The 24,062-nt window shown below is 50.2% G+C and overlaps 1 protein-coding gene and 2 pseudogenes across 4 annotated transcripts; all 3 read left to right on the top strand.

The window, feature by feature from the left end:
- Window positions 381-1,460, top strand: OR6L1P (olfactory receptor family 6 subfamily L member 1 pseudogene; annotated as a pseudogene).
- On the top strand, window positions 6,558-9,582 carry SPRNP1 (shadow of prion protein pseudogene 1; annotated as a pseudogene). The gene is made up of 2 exons (NR_033789.2): window positions 6,558-7,248; window positions 8,033-9,582. The product of NR_033789.2 is annotated as a shadow of prion protein pseudogene 1 (transcript).
- On the top strand, window positions 8,225-22,617 carry SYCE1 (synaptonemal complex central element protein 1). 3 transcript variants are annotated; one of them, NM_130784.4, is made up of 13 exons: window positions 8,225-8,328; window positions 16,363-16,425; window positions 17,156-17,215; window positions 17,565-17,639; window positions 18,302-18,349; window positions 18,598-18,652; window positions 19,360-19,449; window positions 19,694-19,757; window positions 20,469-20,535; window positions 20,613-20,736; window positions 20,809-20,919; window positions 21,078-21,165; window positions 22,188-22,617. In NM_130784.4, the coding sequence occupies exons 2-13, from the start codon at window positions 16,398-16,400 to the stop codon at window positions 22,224-22,226; spliced, it is 849 nt and encodes a 282-aa protein (NP_570140.1). In that variant the 5' UTR covers window positions 8,225-8,328; window positions 16,363-16,397; the 3' UTR covers window positions 22,227-22,617. The 3 variants fall into 3 exon arrangements, with proteins under 3 accessions (NP_570140.1, NP_001137235.1, NP_001137236.1); NM_001143763.2 differs by lacking the exon at window positions 8,225-8,328 and adding an exon at window positions 10,933-11,059; NM_001143764.3 differs by lacking the exons at window positions 8,225-8,328; window positions 22,188-22,617 and adding exons at window positions 10,933-11,059; window positions 21,387-21,669.

Raw genomic sequence — 24,062 nt, 5'->3', positions numbered from 1 at the left:
GGGTCTTCCCTTGCGCTGTGTGTACATCTGGGGGTGTGCACTTGGGTGCATGTGTGTGCACCAGGGTGTGTGTGCAGCTGGGGAGGGACGTGCACTGAGTGTATATGTGTGCACCTGGCCATGTACCTGTGTGTTGGGGCAGGGAAGATTATGCACCTCAGGGCGTATAGGTGTAAGAGGGGGTATACCTGATCATATGAGTGTGTACAGGTCCCAAGGCCCCTTGGCCAGGCGTTAGCTCTGGGTAAGTGGGCATGTTGGGCTGAGAGGTGGGGATGACAGATAAGTATTGCAGCAGGTCCCAAAGGTGCATGGTGGGACAGTCTGTGAGCCTGAGCCCCTGCCCTAAGATCCCAGGAGGGCTTACAGCGCTCTTACCTAGCTCTCACCAGTGGAGCAGGGCTGTGACCCCATCACACACCACAGCCTAGTCTCCCCACTGTTCTGGAGTGCTGAGAAGTGACTTGCCTGACCAGGAGGGCCACGTACAATTCCAGCAATACTGTGGTGACAGAGTTTGTGTTTCTGAGCTTCCCAGAGCTGCACCATCTTCAAGGGCTGCTATTTGGTCACTCCTCATCATCTATGTGGTGACCATCCTAGAGGACCTGGCTGTCGTGGGGACCATCAGAGCCAGCCACCACCTGCACATATCCACACACCTCTTCCTGGCCCAACTCTCGGTGCTGGAGACTCTGTACACCTCGGTCACCGTCCCAAAGCTGTTGGCCGGACTCCCAGCACGAGCGACGACCATCTATCTCCTTCTCGGGGCACCTCACCTGGCTGCTCCTCTTCCTCTCACTCAGCTCCTCTGAGTGCGTCCTCCCGGCCAACATGGACTGTGACTGGCACCCAGTCATCTGCCACCTGCTGCACTACCCAGCCCATCATGGACTCCATGCAGCTGGCTCTGCCTGCACCTGGCCATCAGCGCCCAGCTCAGCAGCTTCCCAGCCTCCTTTGTGTCCACGGCTCTCAACTCCAGCCTGAGGCTCCGCAGCCCCGATGTCCTCAACCACTTCTGTGATATCCCACCCCCGCTAGGGCTCTCTTGCTCCAGCACCACTACCATAGAAATGCGGACTCAGGCAGCCCAGGTGATCCTTGCGGCTTCCCTGCAGGCAACCACGGTCTCCTACACCCACATCCTGGCCAGATCGCTGAGGATTCCAGAAAGGCCCAGCAGCTAAAGGCCTTCCCCACCTATGCCTCCCACCTGGGGTGGCGGCTCCTCTAACCTCATCAAGCTGGTGTCAGGGGTCTACTTGGTTGGGATCCCTCTGCTCAAACCCATCATCTACTGCCTGGGAACTGCAACATCAGGGAGGCCCTGGCCAAACTCCTCCAGGCCCTTCCCCTTTAGAGCTGCAGGAGGGAGAGCTGCCCAATCCCTCTTCCTCCTTCCCTGTGCTCACAGACACTGGTGACCACCCAAGGCAGCCATAGCCCTCTCCCACCAGGGCAGTCAGCAAGTCCTGCCCTCGCCCATATCACCCAGAGTTGCCAAGAGCACAGAGTGGCCACAGGCAAGCATCTCCTTGAGCAGTGGAGGGGCAGAGATGCCAGACCTGGGCCTCAGCACTGCCAGGACAGCTCCTTGCCACAGCAGCTAGGAGCCTCCAGCCCAGGAGAAGCTGGGCCTGGAGCTCACAAGAAGCCCCCTCTCACGGCCTCTCCCCTGACCCTCTCGGATGAACAGCTGCTATGGAGGCCAGCCACTCTGCCCAGTCCTGCAGGCCCAGAGGGATGGTCTCCTTGCCATGAGGTCCCAGCTCCTCAGAGCAGAGCCTGAGGCCAGGTGAGCAAAGGGCTCTGACACATCCAGGCAGCACCACCAAACACACAGGTGTCCCCTTTCCTCAGAAACAGGAATGTCATTTTGTGTCCTTTTATTGAAAACTCCATGGGTCTAATGAATAGACAATGTGCCCTTACCTGGTTTCTCTGCCTTTTCTCTCTGGTGCTTGAGGGCAGAAACTAAGTTGACCAAGCACGTCTCTTCCTATTGGGCTGCGGCACCTGGTTGTGGGGAGGTATCTCTCACTTGATTTCACGGTTTTTCCATGCCCTAATCCCACCTCCCTCATCACAGCCACCCAGTGTGATGCATTCAGCATGTGTCCTTGGAGAGAGAGGTACTCAACAGATGTGTGGTGTTGTGTGTGAGTTTTAAATTTATGTCAATGAGTTTTCACTCTAAATCTTTCTTACTATTTTTGTTTTGTATATTGTGAGCTTATGTCATGAAGTGCATACAGATTTAGAAATGTTTTATCATCTTGGTAAATTTACCTTTCATCACTAAGAGGCATTACTCTTTGTCCCTAGTAGTGCTTTTACCTCAACCTTTGGGTCATAAAGTCTACTTTGTCTGGCATTAATATAGCTACACTGGCTTCTTTTTAGTATTTGCATGGTAACTTTTTTATCTATGCCAATTATTAATCTGCTGCCTCTTAGCTTCTAACCACCCTTCACAGTCAGCTCTGTGATGCTGGGACAGGGACTTGACAAACTGCATTTCTGCTTTGTCACCCACTGCCTCTTTCTGTTGAGAAGCCAGCTGCCAGTCTTACTTTTACTCTTTTGCAGGTAATTTGAGTTTCCCCTGCTTCTGGAAGTTGTTTGGTTTAAAGCTGTCTTACCTAGGTATGCTTTTTTTTGTATTTATTGCACTTGGAGTTTGTAATGCCTCTAGAATTCATGATTTAATTTCTTTCATCAGTTTTTGGAACTGATTGGTGATTATTTCCTTAAATATTACACCTACCTCATTATCTTCTTCCATTGCTTCTATTACATGGCATGTCAGGCCTTTTTATAGTGTACCCTCTGCCTCCTTTTTTTTTTTCTGGATATTTTGATCTTCCATGTTACTAATTCTCTCTCTAGCCATGTCTAATCTTCTGTGTTTTAAAATGTATTTTTTGATTCTAGACTTTCCTTTTTGTCCTTTTAGTTTCCCAGTCTCTTCCAAAATTCTCAATCTTCTTTTATTCCTGTAGACATGGACAGGTTCCTACATGAGCTTCTTAATGGTATCCTTGTTCTCGTGTTGGTCTCTGTCTAATCCTTGCAAAGACTTGGTTGTTTTATTACTATGGCTTTCTACAACGTCTTAATATGACATGGTGAGTTACTCTTCTTTGATCTTCTTTTTCAAAATTATTTTATTAATAGCTATTTTAGGCATTTATTTTTCCATATAGACTTTAGAAACTTTTGGGTTCTGTGCTATTTTGTTACTATCATAACAAAGTGCCACAGACAGGGTGGCTTAAACAACAAAAATTTGTTTTCTCACAGTTTGGCAGGGTTGGTTTCTTCTGCATCCTCTCTTCTTGGCTTGTAGACACCATCTTCTCCCTATGTCTTCACAGAGCCATCCCACAGTGGGTGTCTGGGTCCTGAGTTCCTCTTGTTAACGACATCAAGCTCACCTCACCTCATTTAACCTTAGTCACCTCTTTAAGGTCCTATTTCCAAATGCACCCACCCCTGCAGTATTAGGGGTTGGGAATTCAATGCATGAATTTGAGGGAGACACTGTTCAGTTCATAACAGTCTTTTAAAAATTATGCAAAGATTTTTATTGTAATTTCATTAAATTTATGGATCAATTTGTGGCAAACGGTCACCTTCACAATATCCTGTGCATCCTCCATTTATGCAGATTTTCTTTTATATTCTTTAATAACTTTTTGATGTTCTCCACAGAGGTCTTTTACATTGCGGACTGTGGTGAATGGCTTTTTTTTTTTTTTTTTTTTTTGGAGAAGGAGTCTTGCTCTGTCACCCAGGCTGGAGTGCAGTGGCGCAATCTCAATCTCAGCTCACTGCAACCTCCACCTCCTGGGTTCAAGTGATTCTCGTGCCTCAGCCTCCCGTGTAGCTGGGATTACAGGCATGTACCACCATGACTAGCTAATTTTTGTAATTTTAGTAGAGACGGGGTTTCACCATTTTGACCAGTCTGGTCTCGAACTCCTGGCCTCAGGTGATCTGCCCGACTCGGCCTCCCAAAGTGCTAGGATTACAGGCATGAGCCATCGTGCCAGACTATGAATGGCTTTTTATCTTATATTTTTTAAAGCTATTTTTTGTTCTGGTAGAGAAATTCTACCATCTTTTAAATCTAAGGTATACATCTGGCTGCAAGTCTAGGGAGTACCTGCTTAATACAGGGATGAGATGTGAGACACCCAGCAGTGCAGAGTGGCAGAGCAGCACCGCCGTGTGCCGGGGACAACCCCACCCTCCACCCGCCTAGCCGCTGACCCAGCATCCTGGGGTCTTCCGATGTCAGGAGCCACCCTCGGCACCAAGTCCCACTCCCAGCAGGAAAAAGGGGGAAAGGACAATAGCACACAGGTTCTACGCAGCCCCTCTCCTTAGCGGGGACGGAGGCTCTCCCAGGAGCCCCCGACACCCTCAGTTGCAGGTTTCACCAGCTATGCCTATGTCCTGTGGCCTCTGCCAGCTGCAGCACTTGTGGTGGAATCAGGTCTCAGGGCTACAGCTGCAGGAGCCACCCCACCTTCCATGGTACAATCAGGTCTCAGGGCTGCAGCTTCAGGAGCCACCGTGCCTTCAACGTGCTGTGTTCTTCTTGGTGGCAGCTCTGCCAATGCTGTGTTAAACAGAAGCGGTGAAAGTAGGCAATCTTCTCATTGGTTCGTATTTTTAAAAATACATTTAAAAGCTCTCCACTACGTATGTCTTCTGAGATTAGCCTTTATCAAAGAAAACATTTCACTTCTATGATGAGTTTTCTCAACATGTTTCACCACAAACGAATGTTGATTGAAATCAAATGCTTTGTCTTTCTCTGTAGAAAACCGTATTTTTTGCCTTTGGTCCACTAATAGGTAAAGCACACTGACATATGTTATGACATAAAACCACCCTGAACCTGACCTGATCATGGTGATTTGCTTTCTGATGTGCCGCTGGACTCATTGTGCTGCTGCTTTATCTAAAACTTTCATGTCTCTACTCAAACATAAAACAGCCTAAATGTTTCTCTTGCGCTTCTCTTATACACCCTAAGATACATCCTATACATCTTAAGATAGAAGGCTTCTGGAATCATAAAATCAGCTGGAGCACCGCCTCCCCCTTCCTTTTCCCATTCTGTGTTCTCGGCCTTGGAACAACTGTTAGATGTTAGAGCCCAAAATGGATCCCCTGGGTCTATCCCCTTTTCTTTCATATTTGCTGCCTTTTTGCCAGAAACATTTCCTTAAATATACAATTCCATCCTTCTGTTGTTTTTTTTTTTTTTTTTTGCAGTAATTTTTTAATCTCAAAAGTGTCTTTTTTGTCTTATTTCATCTTCACAGTTTCCTGTTCTTATTATATAAATATATCTCCCTAATCTGAGTCTATGGATTGGAGTTTTATCCAATCCATTCATTCCAATGATTGGAATGATTGGAGTCATTCACATTTCTCAATCCATTTATTTTCCGTTTCTTTGCCTGGTCTTTCTTTTATGTGATGCAGCTCTCCTTGAATGTCTGATACATTTTCATCCTTTAAAATGAAGCCGATGGGTGACAGGAAGACGTGCTTCCATGAAAGGCAGTGTTTCACTCCGGAACCTCAGCTCCCGCACGCTGGATCCAGATCCACAGCATCCCCAGGACCTCTTCTCCCCTCTGGGTCCTGCCCCCATCTCACTGGCTCCCATCTCAGATTCCCTGTGAGGCTCCACGCTTGGCTTCACATGCAAAGTCTAGGGGTGAGGGGCCCCTCCCAGCCTCTCAGCTGGCAGTCCTGGGCCTGTGCTGGGAAACATGCCCTCCCCGCCCGCAGCCGGAGGAGCCGCATGGCTGTCTTGAGTGGAGGTCACACATCCCCTCCCAGGGCCAGGGGAGGGAACGGTCACAGATGTTCCTCATGAGCCAAAAATAAGCAAGGTCTGGCTGCGGTGCTGTCCACTGCCGGCTCCAGCACCAGGGGTTGCCCAAGAACCCCCTTGACTCCTTGGGGTAAGCAGCTCACTGCTGGCTGTCCTGTGTGTGATGGGGAAGGGGGACTCAACCCGAGTGTGCAGACCTATGATGACCCCCGCTCCCACCTCCACGTCCCATGGCCACGGCCCCTCCCTTCCAAGCTCCTTCTGCCTGATGGGCAGCACCCCCTCCCGTCTGGAGTCTGCCGGGGCCCTTCCTGCTCTCCTTGTTAATTTATTTTCTGTCTTGGAGGGAAGCTGGGTGCACCTGCTCAGGTGGCCCCCTAGGGCCAGAAGACCTGTCAGTCACTTTCAAATACATGTTCTTTCCAGCTCTTCCTTGCCAAAGGTTCTAAAAACACTGTTGTCCGTCTCACCCAAAAAGCTAAGCTTCTGTCCAATCCTTAACGGTAGCTATAAATGAGAAGCATAAGCTTGGTTTCCTTCTAACATCCGGCAAGTTAGAAGATAAAACGTATTTCTTCACTTATTCATCACATATTTGCAGGGCACCCCTACACGGGACAGCAGAGGTCCCAGGCCGGTGCTGCACCCGGAGCCAGGCTCGGAGCTGGCCGCGCGCCCTCAGCTGAAACTCACCGGAGGCGCGGCCGCCCTGGGCTGAGAAGACGCCGTCGGCCCAGGTGGCATCAGAACCCACAGGAGGAAGACAGCCAGCCCAGAAGGAGCCATGGGGGGCCTCTGGGGATCGCAAGGGTCGACCCCATCCTCCCTGAAACAAGGCCGGAGGTTGAGGAGGTCTCCGCCCGGCCCCGCAGCTGACAACCGGTGGAGAAACCGCACCTGCCACGGGAGGGGCCGCGGGGTGGGCTCGAGCCACCATGGGGCTGGTACAAGCACCCTCTCCGCTCAGGACCTCGGCCCTCATCCCAGGGCACCAGGGCTCACAGGGGGATGGGCCCGGGTGGGGACGAGGGTGTGGAGGGGCAGGAAGCACGGCGGGTGGAGCGGAGCCGGGTGCGGGGGTCGCGGGGGACCGCGGGGACGGGGCCTTGTGATGCAGGAGACGGAGGGGGCTGGTGACGGAGGACGGGAGGCCGCAAGGATGGGGGACGCGACATCCTTTTCCCCTCCCACCGGCTCACCAGGGATGCGCCTCCGCGACTGCCCGCCCCAATCCCAGGGCGGAGGCCTCGCGCAAAACCCAGGCGCCGCGGCTCCGCGCTCCGGCTGAGGGTCCGCGCCGCCGCCCGCCCGCTCCTTCCCGCTCGGCCGCGGCCTCAGGGACGGATACTCCAGCGCGCGGTTCCAACCGAGGCCCGTGGCGGGTAAGGCCGGGAGGCTGGGGCGGGTACGGGGCCGGGAGCGAGGGGCGGCGCGGGGAGGGGATGCAGCTGTCGCCCGCACAGCCGTGTCTGGACGCGGCCCCGCAACTCGACCCCGTCCCGCCCCCAGCCAGCTGCTGAACTAGGCGGCCGGGGACGGCATTGAGCGCTGGGCGCGCGCGGGAGGGACTGTCCCTGGGGCACGGGTCTGCTGGGGCGGAGTCCGCACGGTGTCAGCAGCCGCTTGTCCTCCGCAGCATCCGCAAGGCCCGCACCCAGGCTTTGGCCCCAAAGGTGGGGACCAGGCCCAGGCACGGCCCGTCCCCGTTCCAGACCCTGATCTGAGCCAGCTCTTGGTCCCGGCTACCGCGTCCTCCAAACACAACGCCCCTCCCCCCATGCCGCCTCCCCCCGCCCCCCACATCCCAGCAACGCGTGCAGAGCTCCCTCCCCCAGGCTTGCTCCCCCGCCCGGGCCTGGACGCCCCCAGAGGCCTGAACGCTCCTGCCCCGCTTCTACACCCCCAATCCAGGTGCACAACCTTCAGGTGCAGAACCCTCCTGCCCCTCCTGCCCCACCTGCCACTTCCCAGCGCCTCCCCCAGGCCTAAGTCCCTGATGCTAGAGGTTAAACCGCGCCCCCCCAGGCCTCAGTGGGCCTCCAAGATGCTGGGGGCACCCTGATCCCACAAAAGATGGGGGTCCCTCTGCTCTCCAGCCTTGAGCCCTCCGCCTCTGGGCACCCGATCTCCATGGAAACTAAGGGCCCTTTCCCTCTCTTCCCGCAGGTTTAGCCCCATGAAGATGAACTGGGCACCCGCGAATGGCTGGGCTCTGCTACAGGAGGCAGCCTTCCTCTGCGTGCGGCCGCGGAGGGCTCCGCGGGGGCTCGAGAGGGGCCTCGAGGGTGTGTGTGAGGCCGGCGCTGTGCTATGGTGCCCCGGGCTCCTCCCTGCGCGTGGCTGCGGCCGGGGCGGCGGGCTCAGGCTGGAGAAGGGCCGCGGGACCCGGGGAACGCGGCCTGGAGGACGAGGAGGACTGGGTTCCCGGAGGCAACAGGACCGGCTCGGCATCTACAGCTACTGTACGTGGACTTCGGGCGCTGGACCCACGGGCGGCCTGTGCCTCTGTGTCGGGCTGGGTGGCGCCCTCAGTGCCCTGGGGCTGCTGCGGCCCTAGGCCTGGCTGGGCTCGGTGACCACATCTGGCCCCCGGGCCGCACCGTCCCCCAGGATCCTCCGGCCTGGGCTCCCCCTTCCTCCCTTGCCCACAGTCTTGGAGCCCCAGTGGGTGCAGGAGCTGCTGGCTGCCCCTGTGGACCCGCCATCCACCGTCCTGCCCATGCTGCCTCGCCATCCACCTGCCTGCCCACGCCGCCTCAGCCTCCCACCTCCCACCTAGAGGAGACCATGGGCCCTGCCCCACCTGCTCCAGGATGTTAGGGTCCCCTCAGCCAAAAAGGCAGTGGCCTGTGGCTCCTGTACCAACAGCCCAGCCACACTCCAGAGCCGCCCAAAGGGAGGTGCCAAGGCCAGGAACCCAAGCCACCCCAGCTCCCCATGCCTGCCCAGGGGCCGTGGTAACCCATGGACAGGGAGGTGACCTCAGGCTGGTTCTGCCACTGAGGCCCTGAGGAATCAGGCCCTCCCCAAAAGAAGTAATGAAATGGACCAAAGGACTTAAGAATTTGGGGGGAAGTAAGGGGAAAACGTTAGGTGCTAACCACCTGCCCAGAAGAGTGGATCTCACAGCCCAGGAACATTCCCAAGCAGGAAAACCATCCGTCCAGGAACCCTAACCCTAAAACTAAGCACAACCCCTACCCCTAACCCCTGACCCTAACGCTGACCCTTAACCATAACCCTTAACCCTAACCACTAACGCAAAACACTAACCCTTAACCCTAACCCCTAACACCTAACCCCCACCTCAAGCACTAAACCCTAAGCCTAAACCTTAACCCTAACTGCTAACACTAACCCATAACCCTAAGCCCTAGCCCCAACCCTAAACTTGACCCTGAACCCAAGCCTCCAACCCAACCCCGACACAAACCCCTAACCCTAACCCCTAATTCTAGCCCTAATCCCTAAATCCAACACCAACCCTTGACCGGACCCCTGACCCCTAACCCTAACCTCAACTCATAACCTCAACCCCTACTCCTACACCTAACCCCTACCCTAATGCTAGCCATAAACCTAACACCCAAACCCAAACTCGAACCTATGCCTACCCCTAAAACCCTAGCCCGAACCGTAACCACAAATCCTAACACACAACGCTACCCCTAAACCTACCACTACCCCACCCCAAACCCTGACACCGAACCCTGAAGCTAACCCTAACAACACTAAGCCTAACCTGCAACCCTTAACCCAACTGTAACTCCTAATGCTAACCCTAACCCTAACCCTAACAACACTAAGCCTAACCCCTAACCCTTAACCCAACTGTAACTCCTAATGCTAACCCTAACCCTTAACTCTAACCCCTTACCCTAAACTGTAACCCCTAACCCTAATCCCAACCCCAACACGTAACCCTAACCCCTATCCCCTACCCTAAAACCCTAACCCTTACAAACCTTAGCCAAATCCCAAACCCTAACCCCCACCCCTGACCCTAATCCCCTAGCCCCCAAACCCTAACCCCAATACCCTAACCCCAACACTAAAACCCTGACCCTAACCGTAAAACCCTACCCCTACCCCGACCCTAGCCCAACCCTAACCCTACCCCAATCCTTCCCCTACCCCTAACACTAACCCCAAACCCTAATTCTAACCCCACTCCTAACCCCAAAACTAACTTCTAACCCCTAAACCCTAACCCCAACCCCAACTCTAACCTTAATCCCTAGCTCTAATCTGTAGCCCTAACCCTAAACCCTAAGGTAACCTTTTATAGGTTAGGATTCGAGGCTTCGTATTTAGGACAGGCAGGTGTTCTGATGTCTCCCACTCACCTGCACGGTAAAGTTCTTCCCCTGGCTCTTCACAACCAGTCGCGATGCATCGCGGCCTCCCCTGGCCGGTGAAGGGCTGGGTTCTCCCGAAAGCCTCTGCTCCTCCTCCCTCCTCCCAGGGCCCTCCGGGCCTCCACGGTGGCCCCAGCGCGGCAGGGACCGTGCAGAAGGGACCGTGGGCTTGTGGCCGGCCTCGGCCACTGTGGGCATGGAGCTCACGGGAACGCGGCCTAGGGGCAGGCTACGCTCCTCTGCGCGCGCAGGAACAGCGGGCCCAGCGGGGGCTGCCGCAGATTTCACTCGCTGGGGCCCGTGCACTCCCGCGGCGGTGTGGTCCCGCAGAGCCGCAACCTCATGAGGCTGCCAGGGCCACAGCGCCTTGTGGAGTCGTCATCCGTCAGACACGCACACTTCACAGGAAGCTTCGGCGCTACACATGCGTACTGCTCGTTGGTGGGGAGGGCCTCCAGAACCAGGGCCGGTCCCCTCGGAAGCCAGCGCACATGCGCGGGGGCACCCGGCAGCGGGCCAATCGCAAGCCTGGACGGCCGCACGTGGCCCTGGCGGGCTTCCCGCCGCGTTTGTAGCCCTCGCGCCTTTACGCATGCGCACTAGTGCCACGCAGGCCTGCCGGAGAATTACCTCACATCTCCAGGCGCGCGCAGGAGTGCATTGCGCAGGCGCGCTGCCTGGAGTCCTGCCCCCAGCGGCGGTTGCTCCAATCACCACTGGAGGCTCCCTCCCGAGGCACCCTCGCTGGCGAGCTGAGAGGAAATGGCGGGGAGGTCCCTGACATCGAAGGCCGAGCCCACCGCAGGAGCCGTGGACAGGGCTGAGAAGGCCGGAGGTAGTGGTGGGAGGCAGGGAACTGTGCGTGAGGGTCTGACCTCGCCGAGGCGGGGCAGGGTTGGGGCGCGGGTGGCGGCTGCTTCTTCCTGTCAGTCCTGATGCTGCTGATTGAGACTTAGCGGGTTTCTTCAGAAAAATTTCGGCCAAGATGAGGGAGTGCTTGCCCGCACACCCCCCACTTTGTCTTAAAGCATTGAACTGTTATCATAGTTGCTCCAATTTTGGTTTAGGTAATTAGTCAAAAGACATCCCTTCCCGTTGTCCCACAGACTTTACATACACACCTCTTAAAACAAAAAGGATATTTTCCTGACGCTCCCAATCCCAAGGGAATTCCTAATTCCACCTTCCTCTCCCTAGAACCAGCAAGTGTCCAGATTTCCCAGTCGCACTAAACTGGTTCTTGACAGTGGGGCCCCCCACCCAGCATCCCGACGCCCCGGGGAGCCGGGGGAGGCCGACTCCACGCAGATCCCCCGTTTGTTTCTCCCTGACCCCGACCTGCCATAGTGGCTCCTACCTCACCCTGGGAAGGGAGGGGACAGGCAGCTGGTCAGAGTTGTACAGAAGTCCAGAAATTGCAGCCCAACAAAGAGAAAGGACACTGTCCTGGCCGTTTCCACTTCAGGACACTGTGTGCCTCTGGGTGTTCTGTGAGGATTTTCAAACTTACAGAAAAGTGGAGAGAATTGTACGGTGACGTCCCTCCTGCTGTCACTCAGCTTGTCATTCTGTCCTGAGATCATCTGTCCCCCTTGAGTTAAAACTCTGCAATTAACAAACGTCGGTGGCTGCCTCCAGCCCTACCTGCGTGAATGCCATGGCAGGTGCTCTGTCATGTTCTTACAAAATGAAGGTTTGAATACTGAAACAAGCTTAGCACAGAAAGCATCCCTACAGTGAGATGTGGCACAGTGAAAGCCCCAGCGAAGGACAAAGCAAGTAAACAGGACAGACGCAAACGTATCCCTTTCATTAAGCACCTGCTGGCCCGCCGGTGTGCTAGCCTTTCAGTATCATGGCTCCATGTTCCTCACATAACCTAGTATATTTAGGTAAGTTTTAACCAATGTCGCTTGTGCCTTAGTTCAAACTGCTACAACAGAAATGCCTTATTTCTCACAGTTTTCGAGGCTAGAAGTTCAAGATCAAGGTGCAATTCAGCGTCTGGTGGGGGCCTGCTTCCTGGCTATAGACTTCTGTCTTCTCATTGTGTCCTCATGTTGGGGAAGTTGCTGCAGACCTCTCTGGTCTTATAAGGGCACTAATCCCATTGCTGAGGGCCCTACTCTCATGACCTAATCACCTCCCAAAGGCCCCACCTCCTAATGCAGTCACACTAGGGGGTTAGGATTTCAACATACGAACTATGGATGGGGGCACAAACATTCTATAGTGACCAGCTACAGAAGAAATTTAAAGGACAAGATTCCAGTTTTAGTCTATCTGTTTTAAAAAGGAAGCAGGGATGTTATCTAGGGTCAGTGACACTAGATACATTTTAGTAAAAAGTCTATTAGTCTTCACCTAACTGGCTGCAGTTATTACTAGAAAGGGGAATGACTGGGGAAAGGGAATGTTGGTGTTTCAATTTTTTCTTCATACTTTTTCACACATGCCAATTACTTGAATAATTTAAAACTTAATGCAAAAATTTATGAGCAGTAATTTGTGTAAGATTTCAGGTGGGACCAAAATGAGGGGACTCCATAAACTCAAAAATAAGCATTTCACAAAATTTTATGCTTGATTTTTTTTTTTTTTTGAGACGAGATTGTGCTTTGTTGCCCAGGCTGGAGTGCAGTGGTACAATCACTGCTCACTGCAGCCTTGACCTCCTGGCCTCAAGAGATTCTCCCACCTCAGCCTCTTGAGTAGCTGGAATCACAGGTACATGTCACCATGCCCAGATAATTTTTTTAAATTTTTTATTTGTAGAGAGAGGGTCTTGCTGCATTGCTCAGGCTGCTCTTGAACTCCTATGCTTGAGCAGTCCTCCTGCCTCAGTCTCCCAAAAGTGCTGGGATTATGGATGTGAACCACTGAGCCTGGCCTTATGCATGTATGCATGATTTTTAATGGCTGTAAATGATTTCATCCTGTGTATGTGCTATAATTTATTTAACAAATCCCCTAAGGCATATTTAGGCTTCTTCGAGTTTTTCACTATTATAAACAATACAGTGATGAACACCTTGCCCATTAGCCATATCCAGAATTACTTAGGACATAGTCTTAGAAAATAAGATGCACCCAAACTTTTGATATTTACTATCAGAAAGTTTGTAAGGAGACACCTTAATTTTGCATATCTGGTTGACAAAGATAAACACGTTTGGAAACATAGGTGATTGGTAAAAATGAAAAACTGGGCATCTTGTATACATCAGTGTAAGGTAATTTGGTATTGTCAATCAAAACTGTTACAAACTTTGGTCAGGTGCCTCTGAGCCTTCTCAACCGTGCCTCGGCCTTGGCCTTGGCCTGTGATATGGTTTGGATCTGTGTCCTCACCCAAATATGTTGAATTGTAATCCCCAATGTTGGAGTTGGGGCCTGGTGGGAGGTGGTTGGATCACAGGAGACCAATTTTATTTAGATAGTGACTACCTATCTTTTAACTGGATCTCTGAGCTCTGGGAAGAGGCCACACTGAATCCTGGGTCTGCAAAAAGGGAGAATTATTATGAGGCTCGACCACATGGATGCTTTTACAGTGTACTTAAAAAACATTAAAAAAATATTTCTAAGTGTCTAAAATATACTCTTCCTTAAAAATGCAGGAGTAGCTTCTGTTGCAATAATTAATAAACAAAAAAATCAGGTAACACAATACAAAAGCAAACAGTTTAGGAGCTGACATGAACTTGTGTGTTTACACTCTTGGGGATACACAAGGAAAAACAATTTTCTCCACAAAAGGGAGTCTGGTGCCTTCTCCATTTTCTTTAAGGAACCTCAGGCTATTATAAACTATTTTAGGTCCCTCATGCAGCAGAGCGTTCAAGGGAAAGGAGAGACAGCAGAACTATATGAAGAAAATAGCATTCAGTCAACTGAAAAGAAAAAAAACTTTTGCCCAAAAAACACAAGGTCCTAGGAGAGAGAAAAAAGAAAAATCATGAAGCCCTTTTAAATACACACACACACACACACACACACACACACACACACACACACACACACACACACATTGGATGTTAGCTTTTAATTAAGATGACTTTTAACCATTTGAGTTTCTTTTTAAAAAATTTTTAAGATCTCATCAACATATTTCAGCTAGGACAAATATCTGCTATTTCAGAAGTACCAAGTATCAAACCAGAAAGGTCTTGATTTAGGAACCAAACCCAGGCTGTCATGGAAAAAAGAAGACAGAACCTTAGCTATGGAACTGCAGTTGGGGTGACAATCCTTTCTCTTTCAGTTTGGCCTGGCTAGCAAAAAGGTGGCCTTGTTATGTAAATAAATCCCCTTAAGTAGTCAAAATCAAAAATCTTCCCCCCCTTTTTTCCTTTTGCTGGCTGTTTTTTCTTCCCCCACCACCCCTTTTCTGGTGGGAATTTAGCCACTTCAGAGGCCTTGTTCCACATAATTTGGAACTTTCCTTTGGATTTGATCAAGTCAGAATTGGCCAAACCCAATAGGAAAAGGACCAAAACAACAAAAACAGAAAGAAACAACAACAAAAAAAAATACCAGTTAAGCAAAACAAACAAATGATCACACAACTTGTATGGTTACTGGACACTCTAATGATAAGGAAAAATTAAGACCAGCTGGTTGTTAATTTTACCTTTAGCCAAGACAAACCCCAATTCAGTTACTTACCTAGGGATGGGTCTTAGGCTGAAGACTGCTCTCTATCATCTTAGAAGCAGGAAAAAAACCCTCAAACTTGTCTTCCCTGTTGGGAGCGAGTTCAAACTCCAGAAAGGAACTTTCATGGAAGCAGGAAAACTTGCCTTCCTTGTTGGAAGCAAGAAAAACTCCAAAAAAAGAGTAGAGTTGTTTAGAAAAATAAACTTTGGATCTGGAGCGAATTTTGGGAAATGAGGGATTCCCTGGATGGGGGACTTCCAGAACTCAGCAACTTGTCATATTAGTTTGAACCATAAAGATAGCTCAAGCTGCTAGCAAGCACTGATAGGATATTTGTCAAAGGTCAGGGGCACCTCTACTCAGAATCCCTTTGTGGTTGCCAAAATGTGAAACCCAAAAATCTGAGACAGGTCTCAGTCAATTTAGGAAGTTTATTTTACCAAAGTTAGGGATGCATGCCTGTGACACGGCCTCAGGAGGTCCTGATGACCTGTGCCCAGGGTGGCAGGGTGGTCAGAGCACAGGTTGGTTTTATGCTTTTTAGGGAGACATGAGACACAAATCAACATATGTAAGATGAACATTGGTTCGATCTGGAAAGGTGGGACAACTCAAAGCAATGATGAGACAACTTGAAGCAGGGGGGTTTGCTTCAAGGTCATAAGTAGATAAAAGACAAATGGTTGTATTCTTTTGAGTTTCCGATTAGCCTTTCCAAAGGAGGCAATCAGATATGCATTTATCTGAGTAAGAAGAAGGATGACTGAATTATTTTCAGATATTTATTTTACAAAATCAGATATGCATTTATCTCAGTGAGCAGAGGGATGACTTTGAATTGATTTATTTTCAAAGATTTATTTATAAAAAGATTTATTTTCCTTTCACAATGTTAATGCCATAAATAGTAATTTCTTAGATCTACTAATTTTAGTGTTAAAAATAGGTTCCAATAGTGATTATAAAAAATTAACATGAAATATTTTATGGGGAAATTTCAGGGTTAGTATTGGTTGTATGTAGGAAAGCTTGTTTGTATTTATATATGTTTTTAACCTAACATCTTAATGCATTTTGTTACTAATCCTTATGGTTTTGTAGAAAACTCTCTAAGAACTTCCTAGATTATGTCATCTGCCAGTTACAGTGATTTTTGACTCCTTGCTCCAGTTTTTTATACCCTCATTTTTTTTCTTGAATTATATCAGGAGCTTTGATCTTACTTTGAACAGCCTCAGCAGTGAGAGTGCACCCCTGCCCTCACCCAGAGTTTTACAAAGAGGATATCTGGTATAATTTTACCTTATAGGGAAAAGCTGACCATGGAGGAGCCCGATTCATCTAGTGTACTGTCCACCTCAGGACAAGAAGAAGGGGCACCACTCTGGCTGGAGACCTGCCCTCAGCCTGCCTCAGTCTCAGCCCAGGGGTGGCCTCTCGCCCTGCTTGATTCTGAAATGTTTGGTTTTGTCTCCACAGGGCAGGACACGTCCTCACAGAAAATTGAAGACTTGATGGAAATGGTGCAAAAGCTGCAGAAAGGTCGTGTGTCTCCTTTGTGTGAGGCACAGCCTGAGGTTTGGGGCCAGGCAGATGTGGGTTTAATTTCAGGCCCCACAATGTACGAATTTGGGAAATAATCCTCTTCACCTTCTCTTTCTTTTAAAACTTAATTACTTAAACTAAAAATAGGGCCCCATGTTTCAAAATTAAAGAAGCAAAAGGGTATAGAAGGCAAAATGTTTTCCCAAAACCCTGTCCCAAACCTCTCGCTGGTCACCCATCTGGCTCCACTGCAGTCCATTAGATCCAGAAGTTGCCGCCTTCACTTCCCTTCCTTCCCCCTCACCCGCTACTCCCTCTTTGCTCGCTAGGCTCCTGCCAGCCATGTTCCCACCTCATGATGGGTCTTTGCACTGACTACCTCCCAACCCCACCCAAATTGCTGCAGGGCCTGCCCCCCACCACTTGATTTGGGGCCCTCAGGTCCCTTCCCATATCTCAGGAGCACTTCCCACTCCTTTGCTCTTTAGCCTCCCTTGGCCTACTTCATTTCTCTTGAACACGGTTACCGCAGCCCCATTCGGTATCTTATTGTGTCTGTTCCCAGTCTTGCCCACCCAGAACGTGAGCCCCGTGAGGGCCCCACAGAGCACCTGCTTGCAGGAGGTACTCAATAGATCTGTGTTGCGTGAAAGCAGCAGAGACACAAGGCTGGCAACCGCCCCAACTCTGCCTGCCCTGTCAACTCAACCTCCTTTCCTCCGTGCAGTGGGAAGCCTAGAGCCCCGAGTTGAGGTCCTGATTAACCGGATTAATGAGGTCCAGCAAGGTGAGTTCAGGGGCCTTGGCTGCCAGCTAGGACCAGCTGCATGGTTTGCGGGGCTCAGTGCCAAGTGAGAATGCAGGGTCCCTTGTTCCAAAGTTACTGGTTATTCACAACAGCAACAGCAGAGCCTTAAATTAAGTACAGGGCATTTCAGCATGCGACTGCCATAGTTACATGCCCATGATCCTGGCCCTGCTATCAGCAGAGCCTGGCAAGGAGAGCTGGAAGCCTCGTTTCCTACTCTATAAAATCTAGGCCACTATAGATTTACCTGAAGGCAAATGAGAAATGTCACTGTTGGGAAGAGAATAGAGGCTGCACTCACACAATGTTTTTCTGCTCTTTGGTGAAGCAAAAAAGAAAGCCAATAAAGACCTAGGAGAGGCCCGGACCATCTGTGAGGCCCTGCAGAAGGAACTGGACTCGCGTAAGAGAGCCGGGGGTCACCCAGAGGTCCCCACAGTGTCTTAAGCCTCCCCTAACCCTGTATTCCAGATAATCAGCATCCTTGCCATGGCCAAGGGTCCTGTACCCTCTCTAGCCTCATGTCCTGCCAATCTCCCCCTCTCCTCTCTGCTTGTGGGAGTGTTCAGGAAACACCCTCCAACCTCATTCCCACCTCAGGGCTTTTGCCAGACGCTGTCTGTGCTTCCTCAGATAATACAGGTTCCTCTTTCCTCACATCATCAGCTCTAAGTTAGAATGTCCCCAGACAGGATGACTGGCATTCCCCAATCATCCCATTTAAAGATGGCACCCTGCCTCCATCTGGTCACATGCCCCATCCTATTTGATGTGTTTCTTTATAGCCCTTATCCCACTTCGTGGGTGTTGGTATTTTTTCTCTCCTCCCCATGTAAAAGCACGAGCATCCTCCAGGGCCCTCACAGCCACCCTCTGTAAATGTGAAGGCCCTTTGGTGCTTACAAGGAATGTGGGCACCAGAGGGTAGGGAGGGGCTCACCTCAAGGGTTCACATTTGGGTTGGGGCCAAGGCTGTGCCCAGCTTCCCATGTGACCGTGAGCAAGCCCCATCCCTGAGGGTGCAGTGCATAGTCCCTGATGCCAAAATGTGTCACTGTTTTCTAGTGCATGGAGAGAAAGTACACCTGAAGGAGATCTTGAGCAAAAAACAAGGTATTTGCCGCTCCCCTGTCTCCAGGCTTGTGCCTTTGCCAACCCACAGAAGCCCACTCTCCCTATGGCAGCTGAAGCCTTTTGAAACCTGTCCCAGCTTGCCTCTCTCCTGTGGCTTCCACCAGACATGTAGTAAATGTTAAAGCTCAATCAGGTGTCCACAGACCTGACATGATCTGGCTGTGTTCCCCCTGCCAAAACCCAATACCTTGACAGGTTCTCATAGGGCCCTGTTGCTCTCCCTACAGAGACCCTGAGGATCCTCCGGCTGCATTGCCAGGAAAAGGAAAGTGAGGCACACAGGTAAGAGCTTCCAGCTGAGCCTAACTCTGCACTACCTCTTTATTCTGGTAGAGCAGAAAGAGGCAGGAAGATGAATCTGAGACCCACAGCTCTCATTGTTTCCCTCTAAACAATGGAGAGTCCAAAGAATGTCTTTCCCCTTCGGCTCCAACAGCTGGCAGTAGTGTTAAGGGAAACTCTCTCAATGGCAAGACATTCATTTGCTAAATTGTCAATTAAATTTCTTCAGCTGGTTTTTATTTTTTGCCTTTTACTCTTTGTCATACTCCTTGGATGTCTATTCACTCATCTGTCTGTTCATTTAGGCATTGAGCCAACCATTTGTCCATTCTCTCTCCATTCATCCATTATCTTTTCATCCACCCATCGATTTGTCCATCCATTTCTCCACCTCCTGATTTAGCTCATTTGTTACCAGAGGCCCCAGGCCCTGGCACACTGAGATTTCAGCTCTTTGGGAAAACGAGATGATACTAAGATGTGTGTGCATTTGCTCACTTAACCATGTCCACATTAATCTCTCTTAACCTGACAACAATACTTCCAGGGGGCAAATGGTCATGTCACTCCCTACTTACCACATGTTACAGAGAAGGACCTTAATGTAGAGGGAAAAAATAGCCTCAATAGAGGGAGGCAGAAGCCCCAGCCCAGTGCCCTCCTGGGGCTTAAGAGAACATGGCTGAGGGCTGCCTCGCCTCTCCCAGGAAGCACACCATGTTGCAGGAGTGCAAGGAGAGAATTTCTGCCCTGAACTTGCAGATTGAAGAAGAGAAGAACAAACAGAGACAGCTGAGGTAAACCTTAGCATCTGAGGCAGGGGGTTTGGATGGCCAGTAGTTGGGATATAATGTCAAAGATGGGGGTTAGAAAAGCTGGCTACACTGAGCCATGGAGATTCAAGGTGGTGAAGATGTTCCCAGTGGAGCAGAGACCATGGGCAAAGCACCCCAAAATCTGCCTGAAGAACCACAGACTTGGACAGGCTGTGAAGGTGGTGATTTCAGCCCATATCCCCTCATGCCTGTGGTTGGTTCCCAGGTTGGCATTCGAGGAACAGCTGGAAGATCTGATGGGCCAGCACAAGGACCTCTGGGACTTCCACGTGAGTCCCTCAAAGCCACTCCTCCCCCTTCCACATCTTCCCTAGCAGCACCAGGCCCAAACGGTCACTTCTTCCTCTCACCTGCCACAACCAGTCGCCAAGCAAGCCCTGGTGGTGCTAAGATCGACATTGCCTGAATCCAGTCCCTTGTCACCTCCTTGTGACCCTGCTGCTCAGTGGTCAGGGGGATCTCTGATGAGACCAAGGTCAAGTCTTCCATCACTGTCCGTGGATGTGTCTGGGACCATCACGGGCACAAAGGAGACAACGAGGATAAGCAGCCCGTGTTTGTCCCCCAGGAGGATCCTAGGCACTGAACAAGAAAATAGACAGTGAGTGTCAGGAAGGAAGGGCTCAGTGAGGAGGTCACACCAGGACAGAGGGGAGTGGGGAGGAGCTGCAGAGCTAAACCGGTACCTGATCCTCCAGAAAACAGCCAAGACTCACAGTGCTTGCAGGTTTATCTGTTGTAAATAACAATCCATGAGCATCCCCACTGCAGTACCGCAGAGATGTGGGATGACAGAAGTGCACAGGGAGGGAATGGCCAGTGCCATGGCCCTGAGGCTGTACTGTAGCTGGTGTGCACAGAGGGGCAGAGTTGTTGGAAGTGAGGCATAGTGAGTAAGTATGAAACAAGATCCAGATAGCCTTCTTTGAGGCATGGGGGAAAGCCAAGAGGAGTGGACAGGCCTCTTTTCTGCCCCTCAGATGCCAGAGCGGCTGGCAAAGGAGATTTGTGCCCTGGACAGCAGCAAGGAGCAGCTGCTCAAGGAAGGTGAGACCAGGGAAGGTGGATGGCCCATATCTGACCTCACGTGCCTTCATGTGCTCACCTGCCCCTTTGTGCTGCAGAGAAGCTGGTCAAGGCGACACTGGAAGACGTGAAGCATCAGCTGTGCTCCCTGTGTGGGGCTGAGGGCCCCTCCACCCTTGATGAGGGACTCTTTCTCCGCAGCCAGGAGGCTGCAGCCACAGTGTAAGATGTGGAGGGGAAGAGGGTGGGAGGAGGGAGTGGCCGGTGCTGACCACCCCCTACTGGGCCCCCCAGGCAGCTGTTTCAGGAAGAGCACAGGAAGGCTGAGGAGCTCCTAGCAGCTGCTGCCCAGCGCCACCAGCAGCTGCAGCAGAAGTGCCAACAACAGCAGCAGAAGCGGCAGAGGTGCGTGTGGAGGCCCTGTCCCCGCAACCCCCACCAGGAAGATGACTGATGTTGTATCTCCTCTCTCCACCTTCTGTCTCTCTGACTCTTGAAAACCTCTTGTCCCTCCTCCACCCTTTCCTCCTCTTCCTTCCCCCATCCTACCTCTTCCTGTCCAGGCTGAAGGAAGAGCTGGAAAAGCATGGAATGCAAGTCCCTGCCCAAGCCCAGAGCACACAAGAGGAAGAGGCTGGCCCAGGAGATGTGGTAAGCCCCAGAAGTGGGCGTCAGGGAACAGAAACAGCTACTGAAGGGACAGCGGAAGGGGCGGGAGGACAAGGGAGGGGGTCCTGGGACTCCTCAGAGGATGGTCTATGGGGAGGGCCTTTCCCATACTGGGTCCACCCAAGGTGGTGATGGGGCAGGAGGGGACCATGTGGCCATGGGGATGGGTGTAAATTCCCACCCTGGACACTAACCTCCTGCAGGCCAGTCCCAAGCCCCTAAAAGGAGAAAGACCTGGAGCTGCACACCAAGCAGGGCCTGATGTCCTCATAGGCCAGGAGGACACACTCCACCCCGACCTTAGCCCAAGGGGCTTTCAGGAAATAAAGGAGCTATTTTGATACAGCTAAGTCTACTGGTGAGGAGTAGGGGTCAGGCCCAAGATCCCCAGTCTCCTGTGACTGATTGAAGCCTTGGCTTGACTCTGCCTCTTGGTCTGGGCCAGAGGTACATCACAGGTTTTCAATAAATGCTTCCTTAACCTCCTGGTCTCTGGATTGCTCATCTCTGGTACCTGCCAGCTTCTTCTGGGTCCGCAGGCAGAGGGATGCAGGCCCGAGACGCTCTCACAGTGGGCCCAGGAGGTCTGGAACCCACCTGCATACACACATACACATACCTTGTGATTATTTCTTCAATTCCTTCATTACAGGTCTGGACTACACAGACTCCCTGAAATTAAAAAAAAAATTAAAAATGAGGATCAGTGAGCTGGGGTTCAAAATCAGTCGGTTCCATATGGTAGTCCCCACTGGTTAGCTGTGTAGTTTGTGCTCTCAAGAACACAAAATGTATAACTCAGGCACTTTTGGACAGGAAGAGGATAGAAATCCTCAGCTTGCAGGGAGTCAATCAACTAGGATGTAAGTCATGTGCATCTGATACATGTTTCAAATTCACTGAAATGCGTTGACCCAATCAAGACCAATGGTGGGAGTCAAAGTCTGCATCTCCTGAGTCAGAATGCATTGAAGTAATGACAAAGCGATCCCTTTTCTTGACAGGCTCCCAGACCAGGTAGACCAGTGACATGGTGGAGTTGAAGAGAGAGGCTCACTGCAGAGCACTGTTTCCATGGAAAAATGGAACATGGCAAAGTGCAGAAATTCTTCAGTCAGTCCAGGACAGACGAGTTCTCTAAGATGCAGTTAATCATACCTGTCTTAAACAAACTGGCAATATACTATCAAACATGACTTTTAAATCAAGTGGAAGTTAGAAAATATATTGAACTGAGTGGCAATGAAGACACCACATTTTAAAACTGTAATTCAGTTAAGCCCACAATTAGAAGGAACTTTAGCTTTTATTGGTTCACCACAATTTTTTAAGAAATCAACCAATGATTGTTCAGTTAATGAATAAAAGGCCTTTGACACAGTTCACCTATTCATGTGAAAAAAAAAGACTAATAAATAGTCAGCTTCCCTTAGATTTATTGGTGAGATGTTTGAAGAATTTCATGTTGGGAATAACTCAAGGATGTCTGCAATATTCAAATACTGTTCATTATACTGGAAGTTCTATACAGTGAAATAGTTAAGACAGATTTATGATTATATGCTTTGTGAATCAATCTACAGATAAATTTCAGAATGTCTAAATGAGTATAAAAGTTTGCTAAATACAGGTCAATATTTTAAAATCACCTTTATGTCTCAATGCTAGGGCACAGGACCCACAAAACACATCACTTAGGAATCTACGGTTGGTTGATAGAAAAGGATACAATAAACCAGTAACAAAATGATATGCATCAGATAAGGATAAGCATCTCAGCCAAAGGCTGCCTCAGTGAAGGGTCAGGAGAGGCTGGCACAAGCTCTATTTTTTTCTCTCTGCAGGATTCTGCCAGGATGTTCTTCCTCAGATAAGAAACCAGCTGTGTGTGTAGAATACCTCAGAACGGGAGAACTGTTCTGGTTCTCTACACTCTATTTGGAGCGTAGTGTAGGAGTATAGTGTAAGCTGGGCTTCTTATATACCCTGCTGATCATGTAGACATATTCTCACGGTTAACCAGCTCCCAACAGAAGATCCCCTCCTATGTTTTCACCAAGACCAGGTGGGAACTATTTAAACATCAGTTTTACTACTACCAATAGCAATGGTGATGAGATGGGACCAACCACACCCAAACTCAGCTTGGATTCACTTATTAATCTGTATTTTTGACACCTCAGTTAGGGGTCACTGCCATGCAGGTACATCTCATTCCAGCAAAAGAGCTCAGCCCATTGCATACCTGCTAGAACTAATAGCCAGCTACAAAAAGCAAAACTAAACTTTAAAATAAATGCAGTATTATAAAAATACCATGTACCAAGGAATTAATATAGTGACAGATGTATATTATTTCCCCAAAACAACTTTAGAGAAAATTTAAAAGATCTGAATAAATGGAGAGAAAGGTCATGTCCATTAATGGAAACTCATTACTGTAAAGATGTCCTTCCTGCCTAAGGACGTATAAGTCCATTATAATTTCAATAAAATTTTGCAGAAATCTGTATTCCAGACATACTCTTCCTTATGAAAGAGTAGTCCAAATTCTACTCGGTAGTCGGGATCAATCACCCCAGCGAGTAACTCCCTCTTTGCTGGTTGATTCAGAGGCATGACTAGCCCGAAGTGGCCAGTGGCAGCCTTGCAGTTCAGTGGAATCACTAGGGTGTCTGAGTGGAAGAATTTCTTCCTTTCGAACTAAGACCTAAGAGCACAATCATGGGAACAGGATGCAAAACTTTTACTCATGGGTCGCTAGAAGTAATAATGTGGACACCACTCATTTCTACCCCTTGATTTTTGGACCTGTGAATTATGGCTACAGAAGAAACTACTAAATATTGGACACTGATTCAGAGCATATGCAGCCTTCT

This window comes from Homo sapiens, chromosome 10 (genome assembly GCF_000001405.40).
Source record: "Homo sapiens chromosome 10, GRCh38.p14 Primary Assembly".
Classification (NCBI taxonomy): domain Eukaryota; kingdom Metazoa; phylum Chordata; class Mammalia; order Primates; family Hominidae; genus Homo; species Homo sapiens.
The sequence above is the reverse complement of the archived record's forward strand: the minus strand, read 5'-3'. Positions and strand labels throughout refer to the sequence as shown.

Excerpts from the sequence above, each read along its gene's own strand:
- SYCE1 (NM_001143764.3), top strand. The coding sequence starts at position 10,987 with ATGGCGGGGAGGTCCCTGACATCGAAGGCCGAGCCCACCGCAGGAGCC. Across the intron at positions 17,640-18,301 it reads GCAGAAGGAACTGGACTCGC|TGCATGGAGAGAAAGTACAC; the intron begins GTAAGAGAGCCG and ends ACTGTTTTCTAG. Across the intron at positions 19,450-19,693 it reads AACAAACAGAGACAGCTGAG|GTTGGCATTCGAGGAACAGC; the intron begins GTAAACCTTAGC and ends GTTGGTTCCCAG.